The sequence below is a fragment of the Homo sapiens genome, chromosome 5, assembly GCF_000001405.40.
Source record: "Homo sapiens chromosome 5, GRCh38.p14 Primary Assembly".
Lineage (NCBI taxonomy): Eukaryota > Metazoa > Chordata > Mammalia > Primates > Hominidae > Homo > Homo sapiens.
Window position 1 is genome coordinate 6,725,804 of NC_000005.10, and position 19,779 is coordinate 6,745,582.

The 19,779-nt window shown below is 46.9% G+C and overlaps 1 protein-coding gene across 8 annotated transcripts in view, besides 4 other annotated features; it reads left to right on the forward strand.

Moving 5' to 3' along the window:
- The window catches only part of TENT4A (terminal nucleotidyltransferase 4A), a 43,613-nt gene that overhangs the window by 12,372 nt on the left and 11,462 nt on the right, over positions 1 to 19,779 (forward strand). For 4 of the 8 annotated variants that reach the window (NM_006999.6, NM_001171805.3, XM_047416666.1 and 1 more), the window contains exons 2-6: positions 11,707 to 11,830; positions 12,880 to 12,926; positions 13,929 to 14,049; positions 16,687 to 16,794; positions 17,909 to 18,037. In NM_006999.6, coding sequence (NP_008930.2) covers positions 11,707 to 11,830; positions 12,880 to 12,926; positions 13,929 to 14,049; positions 16,687 to 16,794; positions 17,909 to 18,037 — 529 coding nt within the window. Of the gene's footprint in view, position 1; positions 11,637 to 11,706; positions 11,831 to 12,879; positions 12,927 to 13,928; positions 14,050 to 16,686; positions 16,795 to 17,908; positions 18,038 to 19,779 lie in introns of those variants that run through there. The other 4 variants (XM_017008988.3, XM_047416668.1, XM_047416667.1 and 1 more) reach the window with 3 other exon arrangements.
- Positions 309 to 1,111: an enhancer, noted in NCBI's record as "H3K27ac-H3K4me1 hESC enhancer chr5:6726225-6727027 (GRCh37/hg19 assembly coordinates)". NCBI's record gives its function as "activates a minimal SCP1, AML or CMV promoter by ChIP-STARR-seq in primed H9 embryonic stem cells {active_cell/tissue: H9 hESC(primed)}" and the evidence as "EXISTENCE:reporter gene assay evidence [ECO:0000049][PMID:30033119]".
- Positions 10,953 to 11,122: an enhancer, noted in NCBI's record as "active region_22340". NCBI's record gives its function as "activates an Ori minimal core promoter by ATAC-STARR-seq in GM12878 lymphoblastoid cells {active_cell/tissue: GM12878}" and the evidence as "EXISTENCE:reporter gene assay evidence [ECO:0000049][PMID:35858748]".
- Positions 11,303 to 11,442: an enhancer, noted in NCBI's record as "active region_22341". NCBI's record gives its function as "activates an Ori minimal core promoter by ATAC-STARR-seq in GM12878 lymphoblastoid cells {active_cell/tissue: GM12878}" and the evidence as "EXISTENCE:reporter gene assay evidence [ECO:0000049][PMID:35858748]".
- Positions 11,483 to 11,822: an enhancer, noted in NCBI's record as "active region_22342". NCBI's record gives its function as "activates an Ori minimal core promoter by ATAC-STARR-seq in GM12878 lymphoblastoid cells {active_cell/tissue: GM12878}" and the evidence as "EXISTENCE:reporter gene assay evidence [ECO:0000049][PMID:35858748]".

Here is a 19,779-nt window from a genome sequence, read left to right on the forward strand (position 1 = left end):
CAGTAGAAATACTTTTATTAAAAGTCTTATCTTTACATAAATTTGCCAAATTATTAATTTTGCTTGAAAGGGAAAGGTGTCCAACTTCAGTTGGAAATACTAGTTTCTAAGAGATACTGCTGAGACTAAGAGCATAAAACATGATGAAAACCTTAAGTGGCTAAGTGCAGCAACGTCAGAGTAAAAGCTTTGATGAAGTCTTGGTTTGCTTGGGCTGTGTAGGTTGGAGGCTCAGCCTTTGTTTCTCCCTCCTCTGGTGCCCAGTGGTGGTGTTTGTGTCCGTGAATTTTCAACCTCTGTAGTTTGTTTGTAGTTATGACCACTGTTGCACCGAACCCTTACCGAGGGCCAGGCCCTGTGCTAAGCACTTGCCAGTGTGGATTTATTAAGTCTTCATGACAGCACCATGTAGGGGGAGCTGCGTCCCTGTGTTGTACTTGGGACGCGATCTGACCTCAGGCACTTCAGGCTCCTGAAGGGTCTGCAGTCTCGTCTCTGCCTGGGAAACCACGATTTGCAGCATATTCCACAGACCTCATGCTCATCATCAGGAGGCTTCCCGGGACTGCTGCCTGAGATTTCTAAGTTCCTAATGTGGTTCATGCTTCTGGTGAGTTTCTTTGAGGCGACGCCCCCTGCGTTGCCTCTGGTCAGCTCAGTCCTGTGGTCCTGCAGGGCATCCTACAGTGTCCTCTGTCTGTGACTTGTGCCGTGCCACCTTGACCTGGCATCCACTGTCCTCTACCGCGTTTGCAGATAGGAGCCACTGTTGGTGCCTTTTTGTCGTGTGTGTTGAATGGTCAGGGTCCCAAATAGCTGATTGGGAGCACTCTCCTTGAATCTGCCATGTGCCTGGGTCTCAGGTGACTGGGCCCCTCCTTGCTTCAGAACCCACGTGCGTTGCCTGTCCTCTCTGGCTTGGAGGGTTGTGTGGAATCAGAGGTGAGACCCAGTCCCCAGGGATGGGCAGTTGCCTTTGATTGCCCAGCTGTCCTCAGCGCCCTCCCTCCTGCGCCCAACTGCTGTCTCAGTTGCTTGCTTGAGGATCCGGATATAGACTGAGGTCGGCCTTAGCGTGGCGGGGGGTTTTCTCTTGAGTCTTGGATACTTTGTTACCGGTCCCATCTTCCTGTGGGTGGGAGTGTCTGTCTTGCTTGGCCCAGCCTCCCAGAGACCTTAGCTCTCTTAGTACATGGGCTCTGCCTACCTTGATCCCCAGCTCACCACCCTAGTGCAGTTGCTTCTTCGCTCTTGTTCCACTCCTTGTCGCCATCCACCCTGTGCTTTCTCGATGTGTCCTTACTCGGTGTTTCTGTGGAGCAGGGCATCCTGGGCTTCCTTTCTGATCCCTGGCTCCTGTGATCTTCCGTGCTGGGCTCCCTCTTCCCTTCCCTTTTCCACTGTGTTGCCCTCACACAGCTGGCATGCCATGGATGTCGCTCACCCAAGCCCTTCCTAATGTTGCTCACCAAAACCCCTCCCACCTTGCCCCTGGGACCTTCTCCCCTTCCAGGCTGCATGCAGGCCGAGGGCCTGGCGTCTCAGCAGGAGGCAGTGGGGCCTTTGCTGGCACCTGGGCTCTGCATCCTGACCTTCTGAGGGCTTGGTCCTTTAGGTCCATCTTGAATCTCCTCCAGGCTTCGGACTCTCTGCTCTGTAGCTGGCCCATGGAGACGGGTACACTCAGGCCTGGTCTTAGACTCCGCTGCTTGGGCTGTGCTGGTGCCTTTGGTGCCCTCTTAGTCCATCCCACCTGGGGGCCCTGTCCTGCTGTCCATTGTGCCAGAGTGCTGTCCCCTTGTCTTTCCGTAACTGGCTGCTCGTTACCTTTCCCATCTCAGCCTCAGTACCAGCCACTTGGTATCAGGGAGGCTCTCCCTGACCAACCTAAAGTTCACAGCCGTGGTTGCCAGTTTAAATTTCTGCATAGCAACTTTTTGGTTTATTTTGGCTACTTATCTTCCCCATCATGCCCCCTGTCCCTCCCATATAAACTCAGTGAGAGTAGGGGCCACATCTCATCATCCTGCCCACAGCTCTGCTGTCTGTATCAGCCAGGGTATGCTGTGCAGAGGCTCACGGTAAATAGCTGCAGACCACGAATCCCATCTGCTTGCTGTGCTTTAATATTGGCTTACATCTTTGGATCCAGTGAGTTCTTTTCTCTGTCTCCCTCTCTCTCACTCGCTCATACTTACTTTGTGTAATTGGTGATTTCCAGCCTTTTGTATAGTCCTTTCTCGAATAGTTGTTTTCTGTCATCTTGGCGGGGGCCTCAAGGGGTTGACTGTACGGAGGGCAGGGGCTGCAGAGCTGCAGCTGCTGCCTGGGGTCTCACGGCGCCCGTGAGGTGTAGGCAGGTGCTTTGCCTCTGAGCTGTCTGTAGAATGGGGTGACGGCGGTTTCATCAGACTCAGTGAAGCATGTCATACAGTGAGTGTCTGGTCACAGCAGGAAGATGGTGAATGTCAGCTAATGAGTATTCATCACCAATGAATAGTAACAGTTTTTTTTACTAAGGCTATGTAATGTAGCCTCAGAATTCCACTCAGCACAGCCCCCTGGCAGCGGTGCCTCTGAGAGCTGGCATGATGGAGAGAGCCTGGTTGGCCTTACTGGTGTGGTTGGGGCACTTGGGAGAACGCCTTCCTCACAAAGCTCATCTGGAGGGTTTTCGGACTTGTAGGATAGCTTTTTCAGGGGCCTTGCCTTTGGCAGGGCAGGGACGTGTACTGCTGCAGTCTAGGGTATGGGATAACTTTCTAAACCAGACCCAGAACTTCATGGCCGCAGGGGCCTTTTAGCCATGCGGGGCTAGGAGCTGACACAGCGTCAGCAGCATGAGGGCCTGTGGTGCTGGGCGGCAGAGCCCAGAGGGAGCCCCTGCTGGTGTGACTTTAGTGTAAAGGCTGGGGGATACCAGATTCTTACAGAAGACTTAAGACGGGCACAGTGATGTCTGCTCTTTGACCCTTGCAGTATGAATTAGTAAAACTGAAATTATTACATTTCCTTTATTAGGATTATAAAAGCAATGATGACTTATTGAAGAAAATTTGGAAAATACAGAAACTACCTATAATTTTTCCATTGTTAACATTTGAGCATATTTCTTGTCACTTTTAATGGTGCTTTAAATATGTAGCAAATGTATCATTTCGTATTTTAAAAAAATGCTAGGTAAGCATTTCCTCCTGTCCTTAAAAAGCTCTTTTAAACAACTTTAAAATATTGTATAGATAGATGTACACAATTTTCTGAATAATTGGAGTTATATTTACATCTTTTCACTCTTTAGGAAAGGACTGGCCTGTTTCTGTGTTGGGTTCCTTCCTGAGTGTGGCTTCCAGCTCAGTGGCTCAGACTTCAAGATGAAGACTTCAGTCCTGGTTGTGTATGGTCTTGGGCCAGTTACCATATGTCTAATGAATACTTAGTTTTGTCATCTACAAAATGAAAATAGTAATATTTGCCTCAAAGACTATTATTTGGGAGGATCTAGTGCAAATGTTAGTAATGTGGATATTGTGTAGTGTCCCAGGATATTAATGTTTTTAGCCTCTTGGCTTTTATTCTGTATTGTTGCCCCAAAAGATGATGCTCACTTATCTTTCATCCAGTGTAAGGATATCTGGAAAGACAACAGAAAGTATAGCTGTTTTCATTTCAAAAGTGATCAGCTGCTTGAGCTAGCAAGCAAGGCTTGCACTAGCTTCCAGGCGCAGTCACGCAGTTTCACAGCAGGCGCGGTTCCCTCGGAGCACCCAGAGCTGCCCTGCGGTAGTCAGCAGTTGTGCTGTGGCTGCACTGCCAGGCTGGGTGGCAGGTGGATCGGAGCCAGCAGATGTGGCTCAGGAAGTGCCTTCTTGGCCTCTCCTTAATCTCTTTCAGAGTCTGTGGGCCCTTGATTGCACTGTGGGTTGTTTCAGACTCCAGTATTAGGAGACTGAACCCCTTGGTGGTTTTTTTGTGTGTGTGTGCTGAGCTGGGTTGAGGACATGTTAAGCAGGTGGGGTGCCTCCCCTGGGTTTGCTCCGGGTGGTACCTGTGGTGTGGGGTGGTTCTGAGTAGTTCTGGCCCCACTGCTGGAGTATCTGCCCACTCAGTTTGTGAGATGGCAGGGCTTCATCCTGGTCTGGTGCCTCATTTTCTTCTTTAGCAGTGGGCTTAGAACCAATGCAGATTCCCAAGTTAAGTATTTTTTCTGTAGCTTAATTATTACAGGCTTCTGGTACCTAAGCCCTTTCTTACTTTCTGTTCTGAGGGGAAGAGAAGATAATGTTGTTTCTCCGCCCCCCCCCGGAGTGGCCCCAGGACCTTGCATGGCATTTGCAGCATTTGCAGCGTGCTTGGGTTTGCTTTACTAGGGTGAAAGTGTTGCACCCCCCAGCACCCACAAAGGCACCTCTGCTCACACTCCGGTGAGGTTCTGACTGGCCCTGGGACATCACCTGCTCCAGGATCCTATGTGGCTCATCCCAGGAGAGATGTGGGAGGGAAGGGGAAAAAAGGCTTACATTTGCTGAGTGGAATTCATGTAGATCTGAGTTCCGCATTGATTCCTAAGCTGCAGAGCCCTTATGCCTTGGCTGTTTTGTGAATGTTAGTCGGTCTTAACCTTTTTCACCGAGTTAGCATTGGCTGTCTCAGGAGGCTCACAGCTCCTGCTCCTCCTCCAGGGGAGTGCGCCCTCCTCCTCTGTCGGTAGCTGTCAGGTGCCCCTTTCCTCTGCAGCAGACTGTCCTGGGTCCTTGCCTGGCCTTCCCCTTACACGTGAGCCTGCAGCTTCATTCACAGCCCCTGTGTAGAAAGATAGGCACATCGATAGGTCCCTCCCTGCCCAGAGTGGGCGGAACTGAGGCAGGCACTAAAAGCAGCTGACTGGCAGCCCTAGAAACATGAAGGGTTTCATTTATAGTTTCAGTCCTTTTCCTTCTTTCGAGCCTTAATTTAAAAAAAAAAAAAAAAAAAGCCTTGAAGTCCTGCTTCTGAGTTTTCTAATTTGTGCAGGTATTAGTTGCCTTGTAACATAATCAAAAATAAATAAAAATGATTTATAATTAGCTTATTAACTGTATCAGTAAATGGATACTTTAAAGAGGATCATTGATCCCTCAAAATAGAAGCAATGCAGTCATTCCCTCATTATGCTTTACTTGTGATTTGCTTACAACCCACTCTTCCTAGTTAAAGTTAAATATTAATCCAGACCCTATCAGTGCGATGTAGTAGTGTCTGAATCAGTTGTTGTTTTGGTGTAATCGTATCAAAGCATGTTATAAAATCTACAAAATTGCAGGGTTAACTCCAAATATTTTCACTAAGGTATTGTTTTTTTGGGCAAAAATGCATAGTGAACATTGTGGAGCTGAAGTGAGGGAACTTCGATTTCTGAGAAACCACTAGTTTTAAGGGTTTTGAAGGAAGAGTTGGAGGAGGAGAGGAAGAGAATAAATTCACAGTTAATGAGTTTCCAGTATTTTCTGTCGCATTTTACGTTGTAATGGAAAAGACTGGGAACTGAACTCACATGCAGTTTGTCAAATCACTTTTTCCCTAGAATTCAGGATTGATGAGATTAACGGGGTGTTAAAGGTAAACTGAGGCACATAATTAACATGGACAGAACTGTAGACCTGAGTGTTGAGAGTTGGGAAATTTCAGTGAGTTGGGAAGACTGGAAGCACCTGTTCTTCAGAGTGCAGGTCCTCATATTCAGTGGGTTTAAGGTGCTGAAACTTTTTTTTTTTTTTTGAGATGGGGTCTTGCACTGTTGCCCAGACTAGAGTGCAGTGGTGTAATCACCACTCACTGTAGCTTCGAATCCTGGGCTGTCAGCCTATCCTCCCACATCAGCCTCCTGACTAGCTGGACTGCAGGCCTGGGCCAAAACTCCTGGCTTGAAACTTCTTGTAACCAGATTGGAGGAGGAGGGCATGTTCATTTTCGTGACGTTTCCTTTCCCTTAAACATCCAGTGAAATCTGACCTTTGACCATCACTTTGCTTAAAAGAAGCTACTGGATTTAAAGTCTAGGAGAATGTCCTAGACAAGCCCATAGTATGTTCCTGTATGTTCCCCACCCAGAGACCTGCGTTATGAAGTGTTTGGTGTGCTTCTTCCAGCCCCACTGTTCTTTCTAAAGTGTTTTATTTTACATACGCTGTCCTGGCTTCTGGGCTATGACCTTTGCCTTTTTTGCCCTTTAGTTCCTTTGCCCTTTACCTACTGCAGTGCAGCTGCCTGTCCTTGGGTTGACTACAAAGAAGTCACCTTTGAACAACTTAGAAATTGTGACTTTTGGGGAAGGCAGGGCAGAGCCTTGGGGCTGAGATGGGGGAGGAGCCAGCTCTGCCCTGGGAGAGATACAAAGCGCCTGCCTGGGTGAGGCAGTGCACGGGTGGGCTTGCTTCACCTCTTTGGCCCCAGCTTCAAAACCAGCCAGTCCTCCCTGGCTTTGGCTTTAATTCACATTTACAAGCTTGAAAACCAGTTAATCCCATTAGCTCAGCTTCTAAAGCTGAAAATCGTCCCCTAAATGGGTCACCTGTTGTCATCAATAGCTTTATTAGCTATGGAATAATATAGTTTTGTTCTCTAACTGTAGGATCCTTCTTTTGCTCTTAAAATAGCTCAGTAAGTTGGGTCTCATAAATACATACAGCAAGCATATACCAGATACTAAAATACAAAAACATTGCTGATCTTGCTTTTCAGTACTAAAAGCAGAAAATCGGGAATTTACTAAATTGAGAAGTCAGTCATTACCTTTCGATGGGTTTGGACTCTTGCAAGGCAGTGATTGTAAACGAGAGTGATCTTTTGTTGTTTTTCAATGAACTTTATTCTCTAATTTTTAGTAAAGCACACTAGGAAATAATGCTTCAGAATTCTGTTTTCGAGTAGTTTCCTGACTAAAATAAAAATTCACTAAAAAAAACCTCTGCTGTCACCATTTCCTTTTTTCTTAAGATAACTAGGAAATGAATCATTAAGAGTTTGCTCCGTGGCAATGGATCGGGAAGCTGACCCTGCTCTCTGTGGGGCTGGAGCCTTGCTAATGTCCCAGGATTTCACTTCACAGAGACAAGCATCAGAGGCTTGCTTCATTTATAGATCCTACTTCTTTTCTACACCACAGCCAACTCAAAATGGTGACAGAATCTAAGACGAGGCTAGAAGTCACCACGGAGCAGTTGGAAGCTCTGCTTCCGGTTCTGGGGGCAGTGTTCCTGGCGTTGTGTCCTTTGGCCCCACCTCAGTTTGTCCGTTTAGCTCCTCAGCTGAGAATGAGATGTGTATCATATAGGAGTTTCCTGGGCCACTCACAGCCCCAAGCTGGAGAGTGCCAGCCTAATGTGTCAGGAGTAGGGGGTGAGGCCAGAGGGCTGTGTGCCAACTCCTCCCTAAGAAGCCTCCTGGGAAAGCCCTCCCAGGCACTTCCCAGGTCTCACTGGCCGCCTGAGGCTGCAGGGGAGGATGGTCAGGCCGCCTCTTGGCTGGCACTGCTTCCCGGCGTGCCGCCAGCCTTTCTCATGGGGAGGGGAATGATGGCATGCCTGGGGGGCAGCAGGGCCCCAGGGCTGCCTAGGGCTCTCACTGTGTCCTCCTGGTTCTGAGATGCCACCTTTGTGATCCACTGTAGAGGGATTTATTCTATTATGATCAATGCATAGAAATTTCTTCGATTTGGAGACTGAACACTAGTGAGCAGAACTGAAATTGAGCTTTAAAAGATATTGATGACGGGTCTGTGGATAGGAGACTTTAGTGTGGTTTTTATGCAGACGTCCTGCCAGCTGTAAATTCCCTGGAGGTTTGGTATGTGAGAACATAAGACTAAACTTATTTCTATTTTGTTGAGGAGAAATGATTAAAACTTTTCATTGATGTACTTCTGTGGCAGACTTTTTGGAGAATTGAACCAGCGGGCATATTCAGTATTTGAAGTCATAGATGAGTAAAGGAGGTATGTTGTAGTTTGCGCTGGCGGCGTGGCCTGTGGTCGGCAGGGCTTATCTGTGAAGGTATGTGCACAGCTTCCTAAGGCAGTGAAAAGTCCTGGCAGTGTTAGTATTGAATGAGATAATCCAAAAAATGTAAAAATGTTTACATTTTTAAAGGGATAGTTGGCGATTTAAATGGTTTCTGCTAACAAATCAAATTATTCATTGCAGAGGTAAAATATTTTCAGAATGTTAATTTTAGATGTCGTAGAGAGTGTACATCAGCAATGACAAGGTCAGCAAAATATCTTAGCAAAACTTGATTGATTGATTCCATGCACAGGCAAGCGCTGTTCTGGGCACCGGAGACGGAGCAGTGCGCTGTTGCGTCCATCCACAGATGGCCTCCAGAGTCATGCGGTTGCAGGGAGGCCGAAGGGCCAGGGAGGCCGCTGGGTGGGCACGGCTGGGCGGTGCCCTCACGTGGGTTTTGTTGGGCTACTCTTACTGTGCACTTTTTCTCAGTTTGGTCAGTGTTCCGCCTTGCTGCCTGGCCCCCAACCCTCGCCCTCTGAGGGCCTCACAAAGAGCCAAGCAGAAGGCAGGCTGGGGGCTTTTCAGGCCAGCCCAGAGGATGTAATGATGATGGTTGGCACTGTCCCACGGCCGCCACCAGTCTCACACTGCCTCGTGGGCAGTCCTGGAGTCGTGCGGCACCTTGCTGGTCCCTGCTCTCCTTGAAGAAGGGCCAGTGGGGCACTTCGCCAGAGCCTTCTTGTCTGACTCCGTCATCCAAGAGGCATGGATGGCCGGGCCCCCGGCAGTTTCCATTCTATTCTGAGAAGGCAAAACAAAATTATTCCTGTCTCTTATTATCTAATATTTGTTACAGCAGTTGCTCACTTTTAGGTGCATTTTATTACAGATTTCAGACAGGTGTGGTTATTAGTGCAGCTTACTGTTTGGACACAATGCCAAGGTCAGGAGGACAGTGTTCCCCTGAGCACCACTTCTGCTAGGAGCATGGGCAGGCCATGCCTCGCCATTAATCTCTCCTGATTTAGGGGAGGAATACCAGGCCACCCCCTCTTCTCCCTGTGCAAGGGAACAGACATTTGACAAAAACGGATGCCATGTTACGCTGATTTTGTGTGTCTAAGGCAGACTGCAGCAGGTGTTATCTCCGTGCTCTTCCTTTCCTGGAGTGTTGAGCATCTCTTGATAGTAGGGGATGCCCCTGAGGGTGGTGAATGTGGCTGCACAGGTCCTGAAAGCTATTTGATGTTGCCGTTACTTCAGGTAGAACTTAAAGTTGACAGTACATTCTACTCTGCAGGTGGAAATGTGGAGTGCCATTTTGACAAATTGGAATGCCCTGTTTACAATATGCTTTAATGAGTTAAATCTGGGGGATGTGGATAGAATTTTAGTATCCTAGCTTTGGCATTCTTCCATGACTTTGGGCCAATTATTTAATAATTCCAAGCCTGCATCTTTGTTAGAATCTCTAAATTTCTCTACTCCTGTTATTATCCTCAGAACAGGACTGTGAGGTGCAGTAGGCCACATGGTGTAGTGGTTTAGGTGGACAGACTTGCCAGTGCTGTTCTCATGGATAGCCTAGGACTGTCCCTAGCTCTCTGCAGTGACAGTGATAGTGACTGGTGAAGGTGAAGGGATCCACCCAGACGTTCTTCCTGATGGAGAGAGGCTGGCCTGTGGCTCTTCCCTGGGGTGGATGTTAACCTGCTAACGTGACATATCTAGTCCTGCTTACATTACTAAGTGGTAGGAAATTTTAGGTAACACCTCAGACTTTAAAGTGGCCTACTGAGCTGGTAGAAAAGTGTGTAGTTGGTGCTCAGTAATTGTTGAAAAGATAGAAGCTTTACTTCAAAGCTCTTGTAGTTTGATCAGTTTGGAAAAAATATTTTAATGTTGGGCTCTGTTAACAGCTGGACTGGTGGCTGTCTGAATTGGGACCATGCTTGGGGTGAGGTTTTTTCTTACTTTTTTTTTTTTTTTTGGTGAGACAGAGTCTTGCTCTGTCGCCCAGGCTGGAGTACAGTGGTGCAATCTCGGCCCACTGCAGCCTCTGCCTCCTGGGTTCAAGCGATTCTCCTGCCTCAGTTTTCTGAGTAGCTGGGACTACAAGCATGTGCCACCACGCCTGGCTAATTTTTTTCTATTTTTAGCAGAGATGGGGTTTCACCATTTTAGTCAGGATGGTCTTGATCTCCTGAACTTGTGATCCATCCACCTCAGCCTCCCAAAGTGCTGGGATTACAGGCGTGAGCCACCGCATCTGGCCACATATTTTTTTAAATTAAATGTGATACATAAAATTAGGCTGCAGGCATGGCCTGATTTGCAGGTGCTTCATGAGCAAGCGTGCACAGCATTTATTTGCTGCTCCTGGAGTCTCTCGTGTGTGCTTGTAGCCTAGCCTTAAGCCCTCTGTGGACGGCTTGGAATGCGTACTCCAAATGACTCTTTTGGCGGGGTGGGAAGTGGCAATACTTTAGGTGACTGACAGTTGAAATTAACCTTACACAAGAGCCAAACTGTAGGCTGATGCAGGGCCACTCACCTTTGTACTCACCCCTGGCAGGTCCTGTAAGAGGTGCTACTTGCTTCCACTTTGCCAGCTGTTCGTTGGCCCTGTTTTGTCTTCTGCTGTTTGCCTTATTTATGAAACAGAATGGAAACAGGCGAGTTTGATTTGTTATAATTCCTAGGAGTCATAGAATGGAAGCAGGTGAGTTTGATTTGTTATAATTCCTAGGATTGGATAATTTGCCTTCCCCTCTCTCCATCTTTAATTAATCCCTTAAAGGAAAAGAGGACGACAGCACTTTTCCTGCAGTCATCTGTGTAGGCCTCAGCCTTAACTCATGACATAGGCTGGTGCCACTGGCCACAGGGCTGACCTCAGCTCTTGGAGCCCATGGGGTGACAGGAGATCAGCACCTTTGAGGTGGCGGCGTGAGGCGTCTTCCAGGCCTTGCTCATGGTGCTTGAAAACACTGCTTTAGAGCTTTGTTAAGAGAGAGAGGCCCTACTTACTCCTGTCCCACAGGCATTTGGGTGTTGACCTCCTTGTTGGCCTCTTAAGGAGAGAATACTTGAGTATTGAATTCGATCAGCTTTTCTGCCTCCAGGGACCCTGTTTCTCTCTGCTGAGACTGTGGCGGATGAAACCAGGATTTAGTGGATGGTCACCAGGTAGCTTGGGCAGACCTGGGCCGCGGGGCCCCTGAGGACTCATACGTCTTTTTCCTGTTCACATGTTCCTTCCCCACACCTTGGCCCATTCTCAGTCCCTCCCATGCTCCTTAGCGTGAGGCACTCAGGGAGGTGCCCATGGGGCCTTGGGGCCTGTGCTGGAGCTGGTTCCCAGCCTCAGAAGTGTGCCTAACTGTGCCACATTCATTGGAAAGCTGCTTTCACACTTCCTGGATGGAATTCTCTCATTTTTTCAATATAAAGTCACTGAGATGATTTTTTTGGAGAAGTCTTTAAAGGCCAGTTATACATTTATTGATACTTGGTATTGACAAAGTTCAGTTGTTTAGTGTTGCTAAGTCATACTGTGTAAGTTTGTTGAGCACAGAGTTTTCATTTTATACTTTCAGAGGAGAAATGAAACTGAATTTCGTGGCCAGAAATATGTTTGAGCGTCATCCTGATGTAAGAACAGAACAGAAAATGTGGTGACATTTCATTGTAACTCTAGTATGTTTTCTTTTTTGTCCATTAGACTACATGAGGAAATAATTGACTTTTATAACTTCATGTCCCCTTGTCCTGAAGAAGCAGCTATGAGAAGAGAGGTGGTGAAACGGATCGAAACTGTGGTGAAAGACCTTTGGCCGACGGCTGATGTGAGTATGTTCTTTGGAGTTCTGTGTCGCACGTCACGTGCGAGTAAATTTAAATACCCTGTGATGATGATGTGTCGGCTAGATCCACACAGACCTTTTCTCGTTGGCCCGAGGCAGCAGTTCTCCAAGTGTGCTTTGAGAAGGCCTCCGTTGCCTGGAATGCATGGCCCCCGGCGCACCTGCACCTGCTGTCTTAGACACCTGCGGTGGCCGCACATCTTCGTGATGCTGGCGCGCACTCAAGTGCGAAGACCATCGGCTGAGGGATTTGTTGGGTTTTTTTTTTTTTTTTTTGGAAGGGGGAGAATGGTGTGATTGTTTCTCTTAAGTTCACCTTAAAATTTAGAAATTTCACCCTGTCACCCACCCCTGCTTCCCCACCACCACACATAGTAGCATATAATGTGCTCATTTTTGTAAAACTTGGAAGTGTTCCCTCATCACACACCACTCTTGCAGTGAAGGAACAAGTGTTTTTTGACATGTGGAGTGGGGCCTTCTGGAATGCTTGGTGCAGGTGGCGTGAAGCCTGCCCCTGGCCGGCTCTATTCAGCAGCCTTCCCTACTGCTGACTGGGCTCAGTGGACCAGCAGGGCTGGCCGTGCCCCAGCTGTGAGGGGCATGTGTGCTCTTGGTGGGCAAGGGCAACCCAGTTTTCTGCGCCTCTTTTAAAATGATACAGATTTTTGGCTTTAAACTTCAGAGTCCTAGGACAAAGCCCTGCCCCAGTGCCTTAGCTGTGGGTTTAAGAAGAGGTTGAAGGGTTTGAAGCTAGCTCTGAAAAGTCCTCAGCTTTGAAGGGTTATAGGGTGAGGACAAAACTTGTTTCACCTCTTAATTTTGAGTTTTTAAACATTCCTTTTTTGGGCATGTCTTTAACTTAAAGGGAATTTTCTGGTTGATTGTTATACGGTCCCCTCCATCAGTTTCCAAGGTAGTTTTATTTTTTACCCAAGGGTATAGTGAGGGCTTTCTTTTAGTAAGAAATAATGGTAGTGTGACTGCTTGGTTTGTGGTATACATTTTAAGGCAACCACTCTTTCTTTCAGGTACAGATATTTGGCAGCTTTAGTACAGGTCTTTATCTTCCAACTAGGTGAGTACCAGACTGCATGGCATGGGCTAGTGGGGGGCTGGGATGGTGTCTATGCAATATTAAGGGCTACAAATAGATTCTTTGTAATTGAGTCTAAGGCGAGAAATGCCAGCTAAAGGAAAAGACTGTGGTTACAGAGGGAAATTGGCAGAAAGATTTAATTTAGTGTTATGATGAATTCATTGCTTTGCATTTTTCCTCTCACACTTAATTTGTTGGGGTGCAAAAATGCTTCATGCTGGAAATATGAAGAAGACAGGTGGGAGGACTGTGGGAAGTAAACGCAATAGAAGACATTCTGCTGATATTTTAGGACATGTGTTTGAAAAATTGATCTTATGTTTTGATGAAGATTCAAGCAAAATTCTCTTTAAATAGTATTTTCTAAGTATTTTTACCTGATAGGAAAATGTCAAACAAGTTTGCATTCTAAAATACAAACTAGTATTTTCTCATTAAGGATTCTTGATAGCCAAATAAATTTCCTGTGCACTGTCTCATTAAAAGCTTACCTTCTATTAACCCACTGCTAGTTAGCATTTGGAGGCCGAAGAGGCTATAATCTCAGGATTTGGGGGTTGACATTAGCAGGGCCAGTGGGTAATTGAACAGGTTTGGGTATCCAGGAATCTCTGGGTCCGCAGGAGTGATCCAGCGTAGGCAGTGCCGGAGTAGGTGCTGGGAGAGCGGGGCCTCAGCCTGGTTTGGGGGCAGGCATTTTCATTTGAATCCCCTCACATACCTAGTGCTGTTGGGAGAATGATTTAACCTTCTTGCTTTCCATCTTATGCTACAAATATGGAAGTCTTCCCTTAAGTTCAGCGAGGACTTGCTGTAGTTCATGAACTGCACTTCACCTCCTTAGGGGCCATAGGCTAGTGGGATTGTGTCTTGGCCTTTGTGGGAGACACAGGCACATGTGCCTTGGTGCTTATCCTCCCCACACGAGTGTGTAGGCTGTGGCGAGGGGAGCAGTGGCTGACGTGCGTTTTCTTCTGTCAGCGACATAGACCTGGTGGTCTTCGGGAAATGGGAGCGTCCTCCTTTACAGCTGCTGGAGCAAGCCCTGCGGAAGCACAACGTGGCTGAGCCGTGTTCCATCAAAGTCCTTGACAAGGCTACGGTGAGTGCCTGGCTTTGGCCCCTCTGACCGGGCAGGAGCCTTGTCACATCCCAGGTGGTCACAGGATACGCCTGCGTCACGAGCTTGTGGTATTTTACACAGTTATTGGCTACAGTTTTGAAGATTAATCTGCTTCTGGTATAGACATGTGTTTTATGTTTTTGTTTCATAGTCGTGATCACCAACTGAGAACATGTTTAGTGACAGTCTGAACTTTTGGGACTTGTGAGCCCATTAAACTGTTCTTGGAATGAAAATATATGATTGTGTCTACTTGTGTTAGGATGAATAGGAAAGGAGAGTCATCTGAAACCGGACACTGACATTCAGGTGCTGCCCATTATGGAGAGTGTGGCTCAATGATTAAACCATGGTTTTTATGATTACCATTTGCTATGTTATGTTAAAGAGGAACAACTTAGCTGTTCCTTTCGTGGTTCCAAAAAATATACATATATGAAAAGCCTTTTATCTTTGGGGGAAGTTTGAAGATGAGACTGTTTCTGGTGTGTACTTGCTAAGGTTTATGTCAGTTCAAGATTATAAGCCCCCCAGGGACTATGAGGTACTTGCCTGTTGTATGACAGTTCTTAGCTCACCTGTGCGACCGGCTAGCATTTCATTTTTAAATTTGTGTGTCAACTTGTGTGTGATTCACATCCTTATAGTGTTTAGCAGAATGTAAGTTAAGGCAGGAGCTTCCTCCTGCCTGTGTGGTGATAGGGGAGGGGGCATTCACATGTTTCTCATTGTCAGGTGCTTTTGATTGAGGCTGGGGGCAAGTTTTAAAACATGATATATGCACTGAAAAGTGCACATGTACCAGGTGCACCTCTTGGTGAGAGTTAACGAAGTGCACATGCTCATGTCACTGTCATGTGGACCAGAGCGAGCAGGCAGCACCAGAGGTTCCCTCCAGGCCCAGGTTCCAGAAGGGGCTGTTGGCTCTTCTCATTAGCACGAGACAAGCCCTGGCCGGCCACTTTCTCAAATGCTTACGGGCCTTATTGCACTTAGCTCTCCCAGCCACTCTCATCAGCAGATGCTGTTGCTGTTCACATTTTACAGGTGAGGAAACTGAGATGCGGAGAGGTGAGGTCATTAGCCCAAGGTGGGTCAGCGGCATAGTCCAGGCCGCTGTTGTCTGCTGCTCCTCTGTGTGTGCCAAGGGGCAGCGGGGAGGTGGGTGGGAATCCTGACCAGGCGACCACCTTTGGAGTAGAGGAACTAAGGCGCGGCTGTCCTGAGGCCACACAGTAGGTTGAGCAGTTACAGTAACTGCTTAGTCCCAGTGACCTCGTTACTGTCGCATATTGGCTACTAAGTATCTTTTCCTCTGTTACCTGAGGGCCAGTGTAGACTGTAGGGAGAGCCTGGAGCCTGCCACTGCTCATTTCTGGGGAGCACTGTGCAGCCGGCCAGTCATGGGCACAAGAGACCCAGGGCGAGGGCTGAGTTTAAGGTGAAATCTTGTCTATTTGGAACAACAACCCAAAACTGTGTTACAGTGTTAACTCCTCACCTCCAGGATTTGGGGTTCCTGCCGTGAGTGAGTGTGTGCAAGAGTAGGGCAGGAGAGTGCCAGGAGTGATTGTGGGAAGGAGTCTATGAGATGGAAAGGAAGCTGCTTCCTAAACTGTGGGTGTCAGGGAGGCATAGCCATTGAGTGTTGGCTTCTTCCAAAGCAGTTTCTGATGAGTTCTTTGGGAAAGTATTTCTTTCTCTGCCTTCTTAAGAACATACTGGCCTCAGGGCTTACCCTGCCTGGTGGTCGCAGTGGTGTCCAGGTGACTCTGGCCCCACTGGCATGTCCTCACACGCTGAGTCCTTGGTTGGTTGCCCTCAAGTGTAGACATTAAAGCCCAGAATAGGTGTGTACTGAATGCACTGTCCCTACGTTGCCTATCACTGGCATTTGAACTTTTCGTTAGACACTGATTGTTTTGGTTAAAGGAATTCCTTTTTTTAATCCTTCAAGGCTGAAGGAAACAAAACATTGCCTTTTCTTCTGGAAGAATTCAGTTTTACTGGTGGGGTGGAGGGTGGGGCATGAGTGTGGTCTGGACAGTTGCTCAGGCAGATTTTGAATGCCATTCGGTGACAGTTCTTGTTGGTGAGAATATTTCTAAAATAGCCTTTTATTTGCTGAATTTTTTAGGGGAAAAATTTTTTTAGTAAAGTTGTCTTAAAGAGTGAAAACCCAAAGTAGAGAAACAATATCAGTATAACATACAATTTAAAAAATGGCTTCGAAGTTACATTAAATGATTTCAAAAATTCTGCCAAATAAAAGTCTGGGGCCAAGCACCTCTCTCCATCCCAGCACATAGGGTGGGCGTGGCAGAGACTAACTCCTGTTCCCTGTTGGCTCCCTCCCCTCACGTCTCTTTGATGCTTGGTCACCTCTGGTGCTGATCCAGGGCTACAGGGGCTGGGCAGAATGTGGGTCCTGCTGTGAGGGGCTGGGGCCTGGGAGTCGTCCTGGGTTCAGGGACTACTGATGCTGACAGTGTTCTCTGACCCCCTTTCATTACTAAGAAAAAACACCAAACCTCTGTACAGCTTTGGCAGCATTTTGATGCCTGGCTGTGGAGAGTCCTGCATGTTAAAGCAGTTTTTAAAATGAAATCTTTACAGGTACCAATAATAAAGCTCACAGATCAGGAGACTGAAGTGAAAGTTGACATCAGCTTTAACATGGAGACGGGCGTCCGGGCAGCGGAGTTCATCAAGAATTACATGAAGGTACTGTGCTTGGTGACCCAGCGCGGCGAGAGTGCAGGACTGGAGTGCTTGTGCTTGGTGGCATCCTACGATGTTTACAGCTGTCAGCTGCACACACAAGTCTTTCGTAACACAGACTACACTTACATTATTTCTCCTACAATATTATTTCTAGAGATACTTTGAAATTACATAGCTGTTTTTAAAATTTGCTTTTCCTGAGTAACCATTTTATAAAGTTGACAATTATTTTAGAGAGCTTTGTTAAAATGTTCTTTCTAGTTATTACAGACTTTGCTTCTAGCTCAGTGTGCCTCATTCGCAGGTTTTACCCAGGTGGAAGTTGATAAATCATGAGGTGCCTTAAATATACTCACTTTGGGAGGTCTCAGTGCCTGAGGATGGGCAGAGAGACTTGGTTGAGCTGACATGTTTGGGACTCTGACCATGTGCCTGGTCTTAAACGGGTGGTCATGACCTCCTGTTACAGTAGAGGCCGTGCAGTCCTTAGCAGGGGCAGACGCACCTCCGGGTGGTCGTGACCTCCTGTTGCAGTAGAGGCTGTTGCAATCCTTAGCAGGGGCAAATCCACCCCTGCAATCTGGTCCCATCTTGTTCCATTTTCAAGGGCCTTGCTCTTCAGGTTCCCCCTTCCCCCTTGTCATCTGGTCTGAGGGAGCATGTCCACCCCAAGCGCAACACGAACAGCAGCAGCCAGGCTTTCCCTCCCTCCTGCCATCTCCTGCCGCTCTGCCTTCCTTGCCAGCCTCACTCTGCTCTCCTGCTCCGGAGGCCCCCACTGTCCTCATGGCCTGTGTAGCAAGCACATAAACACTCCAGTGAACGCGCTGGTCTCTTCCTGAGTTCCTTTGTGCCTGTGGACTCGTCATGGTAGGGGTGCACCCCTGCTGAGTCGTAACCCAGGGAGAGCTCCACAGTCTCGATTTTCACAAGCCCCTCAGGAAATTAATTCTTAGCGTCCCCCAACCAAAGTTTGAGACTTAATGACTGAGAGCCTTCAGATGGGCAAGAGGATCGAGGAAACTTTCCTTTCTGTCTTGTGTGATTTGCTATGTGAAATCTCTTTGAAAGTATGGTAATTACTCAGTAAATCTTTTTCTTTTGGAATTTACAGAAATATTCATTGCTGCCTTACTTGATTTTAGTATTGAAACAGTTCCTTCTGCAGAGGGACCTGAATGAAGTTTTTACAGGTGGAATTAGCTCATACAGCCTAATTTTAATGGCCATTAGCTTTCTACAGGTATGTATGCTTTCTTGAGACTGTTTCTGTTGAGACATGTGTAAGAGTAGACTCTTCCAACCAGTTGCCTAGTGGGTTCCAGCAGCCTTTGCTCTCCTTTTACTGTATTGTTTCAATTTGGTAGAGGCTGATTTCTGATTCTTACAATCAAACCCTCTTGATTAATGCACCTTTCTGGATGCTCATTTTGTACTGGGTGTAACTGTTGGTGCAGGGGTGCCCGTCTGGTTCTGTGAGTCCAGTGCACATCAGTCCAAGCTCAGGGAATTCTCTGTATTCAGAAATGTCCATTTCATGGTAAACAATAAACATTTCTTGGTGCTTGTCTGTGATTTATATTGAAAAAAATTTGTCTCAGAATAAAGTTGAGTACCACATATGAGAAAAGGATTTACAAGAGAGCTTTCTCAGACTGATGAAACATCATTATTTTGTCTTAAATTATATGTGGTCCTTATTTTGCTGAGTAACATGGAAAATCTATCAATAGAAAACCTACGTGTTTTAAAAAGTATTGTTAAATGCTGTGATGTATTGATAAACTGTAATTATACTTTTTAAACATATAAAATCATCTCTAATTGGAACAGTAATTATTCCGTTTATATTTTCTTGAGTGAAGAATTCTGTCCTTTACAAAATCTTGCCTATATAATTTAGCCGCACGGCTGTATTTCTCCAGTGTTTACCATTAATTTGGTCTTTGTGATTGTGCTGAGATTACCGAATCTGTCCATGATTTGGTAATGTTCTCACTGTCATGAATGCTATGATAGTAGAATCACTGGGTAACTACCTGTGATGATCGCAGCTTCCTTGGTCTGTCTCTGCCAAGATGCTTTAAAAGTAGTGAAAATGGAATTCCATGTCTGTTTTCTTACAGTTCTAGTCACACTGTCCTGTCTTCACTTTCCCCTCTGAGATGTGGCCCTTATATATAGCCTTTCTTCCATAGTTTTTGGACATTATTTTGAATTAAACATGGGCCTCTGTTCTTTACTGATATACTCCTGACTTGCACTATTTTCATGGCCTTGTAGTAACAACAGCTACTTAATACTTTGATCATGCATGTGCCATGTGCCAGGCCTGGGTCCAGGGCCTCCTCCACCCCCTCAGGGGGTCCTTTCAGTGATCCTGTGACCCCACAGGAGGCCACCACAGCATGAGTGGGATTCCTGTGTTCACTGCCACATCCCTGTGCCTTGTCCAGTGCCCAGAGCTTGTCCTGCCTCAGCGGTGTGACTGTGGCAGCATCTGAGTTTCTTGACTAAGTGAGGGGAGGAGGCCCACCCTGGCACCGGCCAGGCTCTTGGATATGTGATTTTGGCTAAAAGACAAGGAATAAGGAAGGGAATAAAGGTCAGGCCAGAATCGGAATCCTCCTCTTGTGTGGTGGAAATATGCAGAGAACTCCGGAATTCTTCTGAACCCTAAAAACATTTGTATGCTTTCTAGCTGCAGCTCCTCCTGGCACTCTGTGTTATAAATAGTTTCAAGCACCGTGCTTCTCTGAGGGCTTTCTCTCATGTGCCCTCGTCCATCCCTTTCGAGTTGGCACTGTCCGATAGAATTCTGTGATGGTGATGGCCACTTCTGCATGGTCCGGCAAGGGGCAGGGCGCCACATGTGGCTACTGAGTATTGCAGTGTGGCTGGTGAGAGCAACAAGCTGGATTTTTAATTAATTTGTTTTAATTCATTTAAATAGACATGTGGGCAATGCAGGTCTGGACAGCTGAG